Raw genomic sequence first — 14,195 nt, 5'->3', positions numbered from 1 at the left:
GGTCAGCCACTTATATGGCTTTCCCACCTATACAGCTGTACACTCCCCAAGCCTACTTTAATCATCTTCAACTTCTAGAATTAGTGACCTCAAATATGGCCTCAAATTTAGAGATTTTCCTGCTTAAGGACTTCTCTGTCCTAACCCAAGTAGCCCATCACCACTTTTCAAGTTCTCTTGCTTACTTTATCTTCAATATGACTCGTAAACTGTATCCTAAATTTCCATGTTGCTGCCACATCTGTTTGATTTACGCATAATCCATTTTGCTTCTGTTTCCTTTTGCTCCCACACTTACTATTTTTAAAAAATTGTACTTTAAGTTCTGGGATACATGCACAGAACGTGCAGGTTTCTTACATAGGTATACATGTGCCATGGTGGTTTGCTGCACCCATCAACCCATCAGCTACATTAGGTATTCATACTAATGCTATCCCTCTCCTAGCCCCCCACCCCACAAAAGGCCCCAGTGTGTGATATTCCACTCCCTGTGTCCATGTGTTCGCATTGGTCTCGAGTGAGAACATGTGGTGTTTGGTTATCTGTTCCTGTGTTAGTCTGCTGAGAATGATAATTTCCAGCTTCATCCATATTCCTGCAAAGGACATGAACTCATCCTTTTTTATGGCTGCATAGTATTCCGTGGTGTATATGTGCCACATTTTTTTTATCCAGTCTATCATTGATGGGCATCTGGGTTGGTTCCAAGTCTTTGCTATTGTGAACAGTGCCACAATAAACATACGTGTGCATGTGTCTTCATAGTAGAATGATTTATAATCCTTTGGATATATACCCAGTAATGGGATTGCTGGGTCAAATGGTATTTCTGGTTCTAGATCCTTGAGGAATTGCCACACTGTCTTCCACAATGGTTGAACTAATTTGCACTCCCACCAACAGTATAAAATCATTCCTATTTCTCCACATCCTCTCCAGCATCTGTTGTTTCCTGACTTTTTAATGATCACCATTCTAACTGGCCTCAGATGGTATCTCATTGCAGTTTTGATTGCATTTGTCTAGTGACTGGTGATGATGAGCATTTTTTCATATGTTTGTTGGCCGCATAACTGTCTTCTTTTGAGAAGTGTCTGTTCATATCCTTTGCCCACTTTTTGATGGGGTTGTTTTTTTCTTGTAAATTTGTTTAAGTTCCCTGTAGATTTTGGATATTAGCCCTTTGTCAGATGGATAGATTGCAAAAATTTTCTCCCATTTTGTAGGTTGCCTGTTCACTCTGATGATAGTTTCTTTTGCTGTGCAGAAGCACTTTAGTTTAATTAGATCCCATTTGTCAATTTTGGCTTTTGTTGCCATTGCTTTTGGTGTTTTAGACATGAAGTCTTTGCCCATGCCTTTGTCCTGAATGGTATTGCCTAGGTTTTCTTCTAGGGTTTTTATGGTTTCAGGTCTTACGTTTAACCTTAATCCATCTTGAGTTCATTTTTATATAAGGTGTAAGGAGGGGGTCCAGTTTCAGTTTTCTGCATATGGCTAGCCAGTTTTCCCAACACCATTTATTAAATAGGGAATCCTTTCCCCATTTCTTGTTTTTGTCAGGCTTGTCAAAGATCAAATGGTTGTAGGTGTGTGGCATTATTTCTGAGGCTTCTGTTCTGTTCCATTGGTCTTTATATCTGTTTTGGTACCAGTACCATGCAGTTTTGGTTACTATGACCTTGTAGTATAGTTTGAAGTCAGGTGGCATGATGCCTCCAGCTTTGCTCCTTTTGTTTAGGATTGTCTTGGATATATGGGCTCTTTTTTGCTTCCATATGAAATTTAAAGTAGTTTTTTCTAATTTTGTGAAGAAAGTCAATGGTAGCTTGATGGGGATAGCGTTGAATCTATAAATTACTTTGGGCAATGTGGCCATTTTCACAATATTGATTCTTCCTATCCATGAGCATGGAATGTTTTTCCATTTGTTTGTGTCCTCTCTTATTTCCTTGAGCAGTGGTTTGTAGTTCTCCTTGAAGAGGTCCTTCACATCCCTTATAAGTTGTATTCCTAAGTATTTTATTCTCTTTGTAGCAATTGTGAATGGGAGTTCACTTATGATTTGGCTCTCTGTTTGTCTGTCATTGGGGTATAGGAATGCCTGTGATTTTTGCACATTGATTTTGCATCCTGAGACTTTGGTGAAGTTTCTTATCAGCTTGAGGAGATTTTGGGCTGAGACAATGGGGTTTTCTAAATATGTAATCGTGTCATCTGCAAACAGAGACAATTTGACTTCCTCTCTTCCTGTTTGAATACTCTTTATTTCTTTCTCTTGCCTGATTGCCCTGGTCCAGAACTTCCAATGCAACATTGATTAGGAGTGGTGAGAGAGGGCTTCCATCTCTTGTGCCAGGTTTCAAAGGGAATGCTTCCAGCTTTTGCCTGTTCATTATGATATTGGCTGTGGGTTTGTCATAAATAGCTCTTATTATTTTGAGATACGTTCCATCAGTATGTAGTTTATTGAGAGTTTTTTTTAGCATGAAGGGGTGTTGAATTTTGTTGAAGGCCTTTTCTACATCTATTGAGATAATCATGTGGTTTTTGTCATTGTTTCTGTTTATGTGATGGATTACGTTTATTGATTTGAGCATGTTGAACCAGCCTTGCATCCCAGGTATGAAGCTGACTTGCTCGTGGTGGATAAGCTTTTTGATGTGCTGCTGGATTCAGTTTGCCAGTATTTTATTGAGGATTTTTCGATGCAAAATCAGGGATATTGGCCTCAAATTTTATTTTTTTTGCATGTGTTTCTGCCAGGTTTTGGTGTTAGGATGATGCTGGCCTCATAAAATGAGTCAAGGAGGAGTCCCTCTTTTTCTATTGTTTGAAACAGTTTCAGACGTAATGGTACCAGCTCCTCTTTGTACCTCTGGTAGAATTAAGCTGTGAATCTGTCTGGTTCTGGGCTTTTTTTGGTTGGTAGGTTATTAATTACTGCCTCAATTTCAGAACTTGTTATTGGTCTATTCAGGGATTTGACTTCTTCCTGGTTTAGTCTTGGGAAGGTGTATGTGTCCAGGAATTTATCCAGTTTATCTAGATTTTCTAGTTTATTTGCATAGAGGTGTTTACAGTATTCTCTGATGGTAGTTTGTATGTCTGTGGGATCAGTGGTGACATACCCTTTATCATTTTTTATTGTGTCTGTTTGATTCTTCTCTCTTTTCTTCTTTTTTAGTCTGGCTAGTGGTCTATTTTGTTAATCTTTTCAAAAAAACAGCTGCTGGATTCATTTATTTTCTTGAAGGGTTTTTTGTGTCTCTATCTACTTTTCTTCTGCTCTAATTAATCTTAGTTATTTCTTGTCTTCTGCTAGCTTTTGAATTTGTTTGCTCTTGCTTCTCTAGTTCTTGTAATTGTTATGTTAGGGTGTCTATTTTAAATCTTTCTACTTTTTCCTGTGGGCATTTAGTGTTATAAATTTCCCTCTAAACACTGCTTTAGCTGTGTCCCAGAGATTCTGGTATGTTGTGTCTTTGTTTTCATTGGTTTGAAGGTACTTACTTATTTCTCTCTTAATCTCGTTATTTACCCAGTAGTCATTCAGGAGCAGGTTGTTCAGTTTCCATGTAGTTGTGCGGTTTTGAGTGAGTTATCCTGAGTTCTAGTCTGATTGCACTGTGGTCTGAGAGACTGTTTGGTATGATTTCTGTTCTTTTGCATTTGCTGAGGAGTGTTTTACTTCCAATTATGTGGTCAATTTTAGACTAAGTGTGATGTGGTGCTGAGAAGAATGTATATTCTGCTGATTTGGGGTGGAGAGTTCTGTAGATGTCTATTAGGTCTTCTTGGTCCAGAGTTGAGTTCAAGTCCTGAATATCCTTGTTAATTTTCTGTCTCATTGATCTGTCTAATATTGACAGTGGGGTGTTAAAATCTCCCACTGCTATTCTGTGGGAGTCTAAGTCTCTTCGCAAGTCTCTACAAACTTATTTTATGAATCTGGGTGCTCCTGTATTGGGTGCATATATGTTTAGGATAGTTAGCTCTTCTTGTTGCATTGATCCCTTTACCATTATGTAATGCCCTTCTTTGTCTTTTTTGATCTTTGTTGGCTTAAAGTCTGTTCTATCAAAGAGGCTAGGATTGCAACCCCTGCTGTTTTTTGCTTTGCATTTGCTTGGTAAATGTTCCTCCATCCCTTTGTTTTCAGCCTCTGTGTGTCTTTGCACGTGGGATGGTTCTCCTGAATACAGCACACCGATGAGTCTTAACTCTTTATCCAATTTTCCAGTCTGTGACTTTCAACTGGGGCATTTAGCCCATTTACATTTAAGGTTCATATTGTTATGTGTGAATTTGATCCTATCATTATGATGCTAGCTGGTTATTTTTCCAGTTACTTGATGCAGTTTTTTCAAAGTGTCAATGGTCTTTACAATTTAGTAGGTTTTTGTTTGTTTGTTTGTTTGTTTGTTTTTTTACAATTTAGTATGTTTTTGCAGTGGCTGGTACTGGTTTTTCCTTCTATGTTTAGTGCTTCCTTCAGGAGCTCTTCTAAGGCAGGCCTGGTGGTGACAAAATCTCTCAGCATTTGCTTGTCTGTAAAAAGTTTTATTTCTCCTTCACTTATGAAGCTTAGTTTGGCTGGATATGAAATTCTGGATTGAAAATTCTTGTCTTTAAGAATGTTGAATATTGCCCCCCAGTCTCTTCTGGGTTGTAGGGTTTCTGCAGAGAGATCCACTGTTAGTCTGATGGGACTCCCTTTGTGCATAACGCAACCTTTCTCTCTGGCTGCCCTTAACATTTTTTCCTTCATTTCTACCTTGGTGAATCTGAGGATTGTGTGTCTTGTGGTTGCTCTTCTCGAAGAGTATCTTTGTGGTGTTCTCTGTGTTTCCTGAAGTTGAATGTTGGCCTGTCTTGCTAGGTTGGGAAAGTTCTGCTGGATAATATCCCGAAGGGTGTTTTCCAACTTGGTTCCATTCTCCCTGTCACTTTCAGGTACACCAATGAAACGTAGGTTTGGTCTTTTCACATAGTCCCATATTTCTTGGAGCCTTTGTTCATTCCTTTTCATTCTTTTTTCTCTAATCTTGTCTTCGTGCTTCATTTCATTAAGTTGATCTTAAATCTCTGATATCCTTTCTTCTGCTTGATCAATTCAGCTATTGATACTTGTGTATGCTTCAGGAAGTTCTCGTGCAGTGTTTTTCAGCTCCATCAGGTCATTTATGTTCTTCGCTAAACTAGTTACTCTAGTAAGCAATTCCTCCAACCATTTTTCAGGGTTCTTAGCTTCCTTACATTGGGTTAGTACATGCTCCTTCAGCTTGGAGGAGTTTGTTATTATCCACCTTCTGAAGCCTACTCATTCTTAGTCCAGTTTTGTCCCCTTGCTGTCCAGGAGTTGTGATCCTCTAAAGGAGAAGAGGCATTCTGGTTTTTGGAATTTTCAGGCTTTTTGCGCTGATTTTTCCTCATCTTCGTGGATTTATCTACCTTTGGTCTTGGTGTTGGTGACCTTCGGAGGTGGTTTTTGTGTGGACATCCTTTTTGTTGATGTTGATGCCGTTCCTTTCTATTTGTTAGTTTTCCTTCTAACAGTCAGACCCCTCTGCTGCAGGTCTGCTGGAGTTTGCTGGAGGTCCACTCCAGACCCTGTTTGCCTGGGTATCACCAGTAGAGGCTGCAGAACAGCAAAGATTGCTCCTATTTCTTCCTCTGGAAGCTTCATCCCAGAGGGGCATCCGCCAGATGCCAACCGGAGCTCTCCTGTATGAGGTGTCTGTCGACTCCTGCCGGGAGGTGTCTGCCAGTCAGGAGGCATGGGGGTCAGAGACCCACTTGAGGCAGTCTGTCCCTTAGCAGAGCTCGAGCGCTGTGCTGGGAGATCTGCTACTATTTTCAGGGCCATCAGGCAGGAACATTTAAGTCTGCAGAAGCTGTGCCCACAGCCACCCCTTCCCCCAAGTGCTCTGACCCAGGGGGATGGGAGTTTTATCTATAAGCCCCTTACTGGGGCTGCTGCCTTTCTTTCAGAGATGCCCTGCCCAGAGAGGAATCTAGAGAGGCAGTCTGACTACAGCATCTTTCCCAAGCTGCGGTTCGAACTTATGCCCAGTTTGAACTTCCCAGCGGCTTTGTTTACACTGTGAGGGGAAAACCTCTTACGCAAACTTCAATAATGGTGAACGCCCCTCCCCCCACCAAACTCCAGAGTCCCAGGTCAACTTCAGACTGCTGTGCTGGCAGCAAGAATTTCAAGCTGGTGGATGTCAGCTTGCTGGGCTCCAAGGGGTGGGATCTGCTGAGCTAGACCACTTGGCTCCCTGGCTTCAGCTCCCTTTCCAGGGGAGTAAATGGTTCTCTCTTGCTGGCATTCCAGGTATCACTGGGGTATGAAAAAAAACTCCTGCAGCTAGCTCAGTGTCTGCCCAAATGGCTGCCCAGTTTTGTGCTTGAAACCCAGGGCCCTGGTGGTGTAGGTACCAGGAGAATCTCCTGGTCTGCAGGTTGTGAAGACCGTGGGAAAAGCATAATATCTGCGTTGGAATGCACCATTCTTCAGGGCACAGCCCCTCAGGGCTTCCTTTGGCTAGGGAAGCTTTCCCTGACCCCATGTGCTTCCTGGGTGGGGCAATGCCCCACCCTGCTTCTGTTTGCCCTCTCTGGGCTGCACCCACTCTCTAACCAGTCCCAATGAGATAAGCCAGGTACCTCCTCAGTTGGAAATGCAGAAATCGCCTGCCTCGTGCATTGTTCTTGCTAGGAGCTGCAGACTAGAGCTGTTCCCATTCAGCCATCTTGCCCAGCTCTTGCCCAGCTCTCCCTAATCGTTTTTTTTTTTTTGTTTTTTTTTTTTTAGACAGTCTCACTCTGTTGCCCAGGCTGGAGTGCACTGGCATGATCTCAGCTCACTGCAACCTCTGCCTCCTAGGTTCAAACGATTATCTTGCCTCAGCCTCCTGAGTAGCTAGAATTATGGGTGCCTGCCACCACACCCAGCTGATTTTTGTATTTTTAGTAGAGACAGGGTTTCAACATGTTGGCCAAGCTGGTCTCAAACTCCTGACCTCAAGTGTTCTGCCCACCTCGGCCTCCCAAGGTGCTGGGATTTCAGGCATGAGCCACCACACCCGGCCCTTCTTACTTTTTTTAAGCCCATGAAAAATGTTTTATTCAATTAATTAGTTGATCATTGTCTCCAGGAGTGCCTCTTACCAAATCCTACCATCTTTATGTGACCTTCTCATATCCAATATCCTTTAGTATTTACATATGAAGTAGTTCAGTGAGCTGTAAAACATGAATTAGGCAGTAAGATGCAAGAAGGGCAGGAATTGTGCCCTAGATCCTGTTGTAGGTTAAGCACATAGGATTCGGAAGTAAGAAGACATTCAGTAAATGTCTCTCATCCTGTTTATCTCAATTCAAATGCTTGCTTCTCTGAGGCAAGCGCTTTCAATACTTCTGGGTGTTTTTTGTGTATGTGTGTGTTTATAATCTATTTCTAAATAACTTGGTTTTCTTGATTTTTCAGTTTTTGGTTTTTATATCCTCCTATGAAAAGAGTATATTTACCTAATATCCCATTTAGGTCTTAACATTCCCACTTCCCTGCCTTAATACATCCATATACCATCCCTCCTCCTATCTTTCCGAATTAGTTATACTGACTGCTATTTTGGCTGAGACTTTATTTAGTATTTACATTATTAGGACTATCAGAGTAGTATGTACAGCTGGGTCACACTCTACTGTGGTAACATTTCCTTTTTTCCACAATCTTTTTTTCCTGGCTTCAATTACTTGATTTTCATTAGGAGATTAGGCTTTTATTCACCAGATATTAGTTTATCCCCAAACTCCCCAACAGATTTCTACAAGTTATTTCAATATGCTCAGCTATACAAGACAATCCAATTGGTTTCATGTTTCTCCTGGCAATGTCTCTCCTGGAGCCCTCTGACTTCCTGTGCTGCTAGCCCTCTAGGCTCCCACCCACATGACACTATGGACTGCTCTTCACCATCATCTTGGAAATCCTTCTTGTCTCTCATGTGTTAAATCCCTGGTCTTCTAGATTCCATGCCTTCAATCTCTTGTTTTCACAGAGCACACACTTTTAATAGTTCCCTAAGAAAATAGTAATAGGAGGTACATTTTTTTCCCAAGCCCTGCATGTTTACAATGTCTTCATTTAAACTCACACTTGATTGATAGTTTAGCTAGGAACAAAATTCCAAATTGGGATCATCACCTCAGAATTTTGAAGATATTTCTCCTATGTTTTCTAGCTTCTAGTGTTGCTCCTGACAACCTGTGATATCCTAACCTAATCTCTGTATTTCACCAGTTTTTTATTTTAGTTTGTCTGGCTTTGCCTTTTTGGAAGATTTTAAAATCGTTTTACCTCTAGAGAACTGATATGCATGATGGTAGGCCTTGGGGCAGATCTTTTTAAAATTCGTTATGCTATGAAGGAGCAGGCCCATCAAGAGCTCAAACTGTTAAATTCAATGTGCAATTCCTAAGCCTCATTTTACTTGACTTATCAGTGGCATCTGACCTCATTGGTCAGTCTGACATTCTTTGCCTCCTACTTCACTGCTCACTCCTTTGCAATCTTCTTTACTAGTTCTTCTCTACTTCTCAGACCTGTTAAATTTGATGTGTCTCAGAGTTCAGTTCTTCCCTGTCTTCACCCACTCCTCTGGTGATCTTCTCCATGCCACTTCTCTTTACACACCAGCTATAAGCTCCAGAACAACATGTTCAACAGCCTCCTTGACATCTTGACTTGGGTTGCTGGTAGACACTTTAAATACCAGGTATGCTCCTGTCTTAGGGCCTTTGTTACCTGGAAGATTTGCTCAACTTTATTTTGTATTTATTCTGTTCAACTTTTTTGTTTCTCTAATAGTGACAGGAGTTCTTTTTCCTGTCTTTTGAAAGCACCCTTTTTTTTTGTGGTTTTAATATCTTCTCTTATTTTTTGGAAGATTTTCTTTTAATTTTTTTAAATTTTTTTTTTTTGAGACAGAGTCTCACAGTGGCATGATCTCAGCTCACAGCAACCTCTGCCTCCTGGCTTCAGTGATTCTCCTGCCTCAGCCTCATGAGTAGCTGGGAGTACAGGCATATGCCACCACATCTGGATAATTTTTGTATTTTTAGGAGAGACAGGGTTTCACCATGTTGGCCAGGCTAGTCTTGAGCCCCTGACCTCAAGTGATCCACCTGCCTCGGCCTCCCAAAGTCCCAGGATTACAGACCTGAGCCACTGCACCCTGCCCTTTCTGAAGATACTAATAGGGTTTTGAAAACGTTTTTCATCTGCTTCACAGTTTTTCTCAAATCCCTGCATTGCCTTTCCTCTCTGCAGTTTCCTTGCTATTAGTCTCTGCTTTTCTTGGTAGAAATTTTCCTCATATGTCAGGTGATTCTGAGCTGTCTGTTTATATCTCAGATTCAGCCACTAGCAAGACCATAAAGAGCCTCATGTGTTTTTGTAAGACTTGTTGACTGATGTGCTCTACTATAGATGACTTGGTGAGAACCAGGCCATTTCACAGAAGGACCTTCGATAACAGGATCTTCTTTTAAATATGTCCTTTTTCTTGGATTTCTCATAGTCCTCAGTCTCCTTCCTCATGGGTGTAGTTCTGCATTTTGGTCACCAAGCAGAAAGGAGGTGGGGGTCTCAGCGTTCAGCAGATTTTCACTTAATGGCCTATTTCTAGTAAGGACTTTCATCCTTGCCTTGCAGACTGTTGTTCCAGAATGCAGGTGTCTCTGGCTTGGACTCTCCAGAGGATGGCACTCACTTCTTCTGCTGGTTTTGGGGAGGAACTGTTGCCTGGCTGGGGGATGGGATCCAGGTGGGCTAATTTCTCTTTATACAAGTTTTCAGTGAATCTTCTTTTTTTTCCATCCCCTTGCTACATGACTGCCTCCTTGAGTTACTTGTCTCCAATTCCCAAGGCAGGGTTCTGAGGTAAAATTAGTCTATCTCCTAACTTTCCTTATGACAGGCTCAAGTTTCAGATTTCTTGGGTCTGCTAAGTCCATGGCCACTTCTCCATCTATTTTCCAGTTTCTTAAATACTGATTCCAATTTCTTCCTGAACCTTCTTTCTCACTTTGTCTTTGCAGATTTATGCCTTTTTTCTTTCTTCATTGTCACTTTAGTATAGTTTCAGAAGGAGGCTGACATAAACAGGTGTGCTTATATAATAGATCTTCTTTTATGACACATTTGACTCGGAAAGCATAAGAACTAAATCTGCTAAGTAACAATGCATCATCCTTCTGGGTAATGCTGTTTTTTGTCAGATGCATACTGTGATGTGAAATAACAAGATTGGCTTTCTGATGTGGCTCATAATCTACCTCTAAAGGCAATTTAAAAAAATCAGTGTCGAAATGTTTTGAGCAATAGCTGCCGGCTTAGGATAAGTGTCTAACCTCCAAGGGGACTGCTTTGTAGGGGACAACAATCCTTTAGATATTTTAATTCTGGTTTTGTATAAAAATCCATTTTTTTACTTTGTTGGATCATACTTCTAAATTACCCTTTCATTGTTTCCCTTGTGTGTGTTTTGTCAGTGAAATCATTAATTCCACCAGGGAACTTTGTGACTCTCCAAGAGTGGTCGTCGGACTACGTCTATCAAAACCACCTGGGAAAGCTGTAAAAATGAACTTTCTTGAGTCTCAAACCAAGCTGACTGCATCTGAATATCTGGAAGACTATGGCCTGGAATTAGATTTTTCACAAGCATCTCAGGTGATTTTTATAAATAGTAAAGTCTGAGACCCACTACTTTAGCATTTTGTGTGATTTGTAGTAATCGTGGGGCCAGGAACAAGGGTGCAGATGGAAGCTCACATTCCATATGTCTAAATATTTAAAGGTTAAAAATCAACCTAAAAATTGTTAAAAATAATACATATCATTCTCCCACCTTCACAGGTATTCTTTTATAATGGTATGGAGGGACAATTTCAAGTGTGGCATTTTCAGGCTCAGTCCCTTGAAGTTCCAACTGGAACATGGAGAGAGGTGACCCCAGCCCCTGGCCCCCAGCCTGTAGCCTCACCCCCTTCTCTTGTCATCCCAGCTCAAACTCTCACCGTGAATGACCTGAGGAGCACATGTATCAACACTGCAGCCCTGACCTCCAAGCCTAGCTCCTCCATGAAGAGCACCCCTTTAGTCCAGGGATGCATACATCAGTGGTACAATTTTCCCTCAAAAGTTCAGACCCCAGGAAGAGGCCTGTGTAGGTCCTGAAAGTGGACAGAAGACCATCTTAGCAGATAATTCTGGGGTCTACTATGCCTGGAACATGGTCTAGAGGGAAGGTGTGGACTCCAGGTGGCCCCATAACTCTTTGCCTGGGGTGGGGTGTGGCCAGATGAAAGCTGGAGGAGAAACCTTTTACCTAAATCTAAGGGTGGCACTGCTCTTCCATGCCTAGCGCGATACGTGATGATACTAAGCGTTTAATTAGACACAGTAAAAATGAGACACAATCCAGTTTGCTTTATCCTGCTAAATGATTTTTAGGGCACTCTATTTGTGATCTTCAGTGAGGCACTGCTATTGTTTTAATCTCTACAGACAGAGAAGCACAGAAAGACCAGGCCTGGCCCCTGCTCACTCAGGTGTGTCACCAAGAACATCCTGGCTCTTTGTCCTTTATTTTGCATGCCAAAACAGCCAGATAGTGCTAACTATTAAGATCCAGATTCCTGAGAAAGGCTCTGCATTACTTGAACCCATGTGAAAAAATTCTAACAGAAGGTTAGAGAAGGTATTTGCAGGGAGCATCTACAAATACTGATTAATGTGAATTGGTTTCAGAACACCCCGCCTCTGTGAGAACTTGTATGCTTTTTCAGACTTAATTCAGCTTATTTACATTTCTGAAGCACACAAATTCCAGCCAGAGGAAGCATTAAGCAAGTCTTGCCTCCTGAGGTTAAAGAAGGATGACAAAATTTGCATAGTGCAAGGATTTTAGCCATAGTGTCATAGGATCCTTGGGGTGTTGCTTTGCCAGCCAGAAACCTCTGTGGCCAGTGGCGCCTTTGCCTGAGTTTTCATTCAGGCCTGCTAGGCTCATTCTGCCCACTTTGCCTAGCAGGCTGCACTCAGCTCGCACTACCTGAATCTCATGCCTGCCAAGGGTCAGTCAGGCATGAAGTGGTGATGGGTGTGCGAGCAAGCAAGTGTAGGGTCCAGCCACTGCACACAACCAGGCATGCTGGCTATGGCAGGGCACCAGCTCCCTGTGAGGCTGTGGCTGGACCTGGTATACTGCAAGCAGCTTCCATGGCTGGTGCGGGGGAATGTTGTGGAACCTGGAAGCTTGGCGACACTAGGAACCGCAGAAACCCAAAGAGGGAGTCACAGCCTTGGCTTGGGGAGCTGTTAGGTCTGGGCTTCCCAAAGGGCCACAGCTCTTCTCTCTTTTTCTCTTCTCTCCTTCTTGTTGCCCACAGATCTTTTTGGCCCACCATTTGGCGGGTCCTGAGTTCTTGTCCTATGTTCAGGAAGAATGAGGTACCCGGACAAGTGGAGGATGAGCAAGGCAAAGAGGAGCTTCATTCAGTGACAGAACAACTTAGAGGAGACCCACACTGAGTAGCTCCTCTCTGCAGGCAGGGTGTCCCAATATCTGCTCGGCTCTCAGCAGAGAGGAGACCCTGGAGTGGGTGGTTCCTCTCCACAGCTGTTTGAACCAACATCTGCTCAGCTCTCAGCAGAGAGGAGACTGTGAAGAGGGCAGCTCCTCTCCACAGGCAGGTCTTCTGGTTGTCTCCTGGAGTCTGGCTGAGTCTGGGGTTTTTATGGACTTCAGACAGGAGGAGGTGCATGCTGATTGGTTTCTGGGCAATCATGGGCAGGCCCAGAAAAAGTACCATAAATTCCCATTCTGTCTGATCAGCTCAGCCCCCAGGCTTCAGGCTGTCCCTGGATTGAAGGTGGGGCTTCAATGGGGAGCCCCTATCTACACAGGAACCTACCTGTCTGCCTCCTGCCATCATCCACAGCACCCAGGCTATTTATGTTGAGGGGTGCCTGCAGGCCAGTGTTGAGCTGCTCTCTGCTCCCGCTTGGCCTCCCTCCCCATGCTCATTGACACCCAAAGTCCAGAGGGGTCCAAGGCAGCAGGGAGCATTGCTCCGAGAGTGCATGCACCCAGCCGGGTGCACCCAGGCTCAGTCTCAACTTGGGTCTGAGATCAGAGTGGATGCCAGGAGCAGGGAGCAGGCACTTATGAGGCTGCAGGGGGAGTGGGGCTTCCCGGGTCCCTGAGAGTCAGAGATGCTGGGCCTGCACCTGCCACTGGTAGGCTGCAGCTGTGCCTGAAAGTGCAGGGCTCCTGCTTGCTCCAGGCCCCCAAGAGCACAGGGATGCCTGGGTCTGGAGCCATGGCTGAGTGGCTGCAGCTGTGTCTGGGGTGCATGAGACTCCTGCCCTGCCAACTCAGAAGTTGGTGGGGCTTCTGCCTGTTCCAGCTCCTGCAGGCTCTGTGGAGCACTCAGCCCCAGCCTTGCCTCCCCAACTGCCGCCTGCGCCATGGCAGCGGCCACTCCAGACAGGCCGCTGCTGCAAATAGGACTGTATTACATTGCTTCAGAGTGAGAATAGACAAAACTTTGCCTGGTGGTGGCCTGGAAGCGACCTGGTCAATAGCCCCAGGACCATATCTGGTGTCTCTGGCTCCTGTAGACTCCCCTGGGTGGTGGCACAGTCAGAGGGAAAAGAAAGGCCTTCTGTTATTTTCTAACTCAACTCACAGGAGGAGGCTGCCATTGACTGGCAGCTTACTTCAGACTTGAATTTTATCTCAGCTGGAATCTTTTCCCATGCATTTCTCCAGGCACTAGTTTAGGCAAAGTATGGGTGAGGAAAGGGGAACAAACAAAGAACTAAAACAAAGATAAACTATGCCTAGCAGGACAGCATGGCTCTAGGGCCACTGCCCTGAAGGATCTGTGCACTGTGTCCAAATGATTGTGCATTTGTTCTAAGGCCAAGCAATAAATGTTTGGGCTTTATTGCAGAAGGAACATGGAAATATTACTCAGGGCTTTGCAGTCTGAGTGACCAAGATTCAAATCCTGAGTCTTTGTCTCACTTGCTGAATGCTTTTGGGAAAGATACCTAAACTCCCAAAGCTTCTATTTCCTTTCCTGGGAAATGCCAAAGATAACACCTTGTG

The 14,195-nt window shown here is 43.5% G+C and overlaps 1 annotated feature.

Moving 5' to 3' along the window:
* Positions 3,756–4,407: an enhancer, noted in NCBI's record as "OCT4-NANOG hESC enhancer chr1:217555074-217555725 (GRCh37/hg19 assembly coordinates)". NCBI's record gives its function as "activates a minimal SCP1, AML or CMV promoter by ChIP-STARR-seq in naive H9 embryonic stem cells {active_cell/tissue: H9 hESC(naive)}" and the evidence as "EXISTENCE:reporter gene assay evidence [ECO:0000049][PMID:30033119]".

The sequence above is a fragment of the Homo sapiens genome, chromosome 1 (genome assembly GCF_000001405.40).
Source record: "Homo sapiens chromosome 1, GRCh38.p14 Primary Assembly".
Lineage (NCBI taxonomy): Eukaryota > Metazoa > Chordata > Mammalia > Primates > Hominidae > Homo > Homo sapiens.
This window is presented reverse-complemented; position numbering and strand designations above follow the sequence as displayed.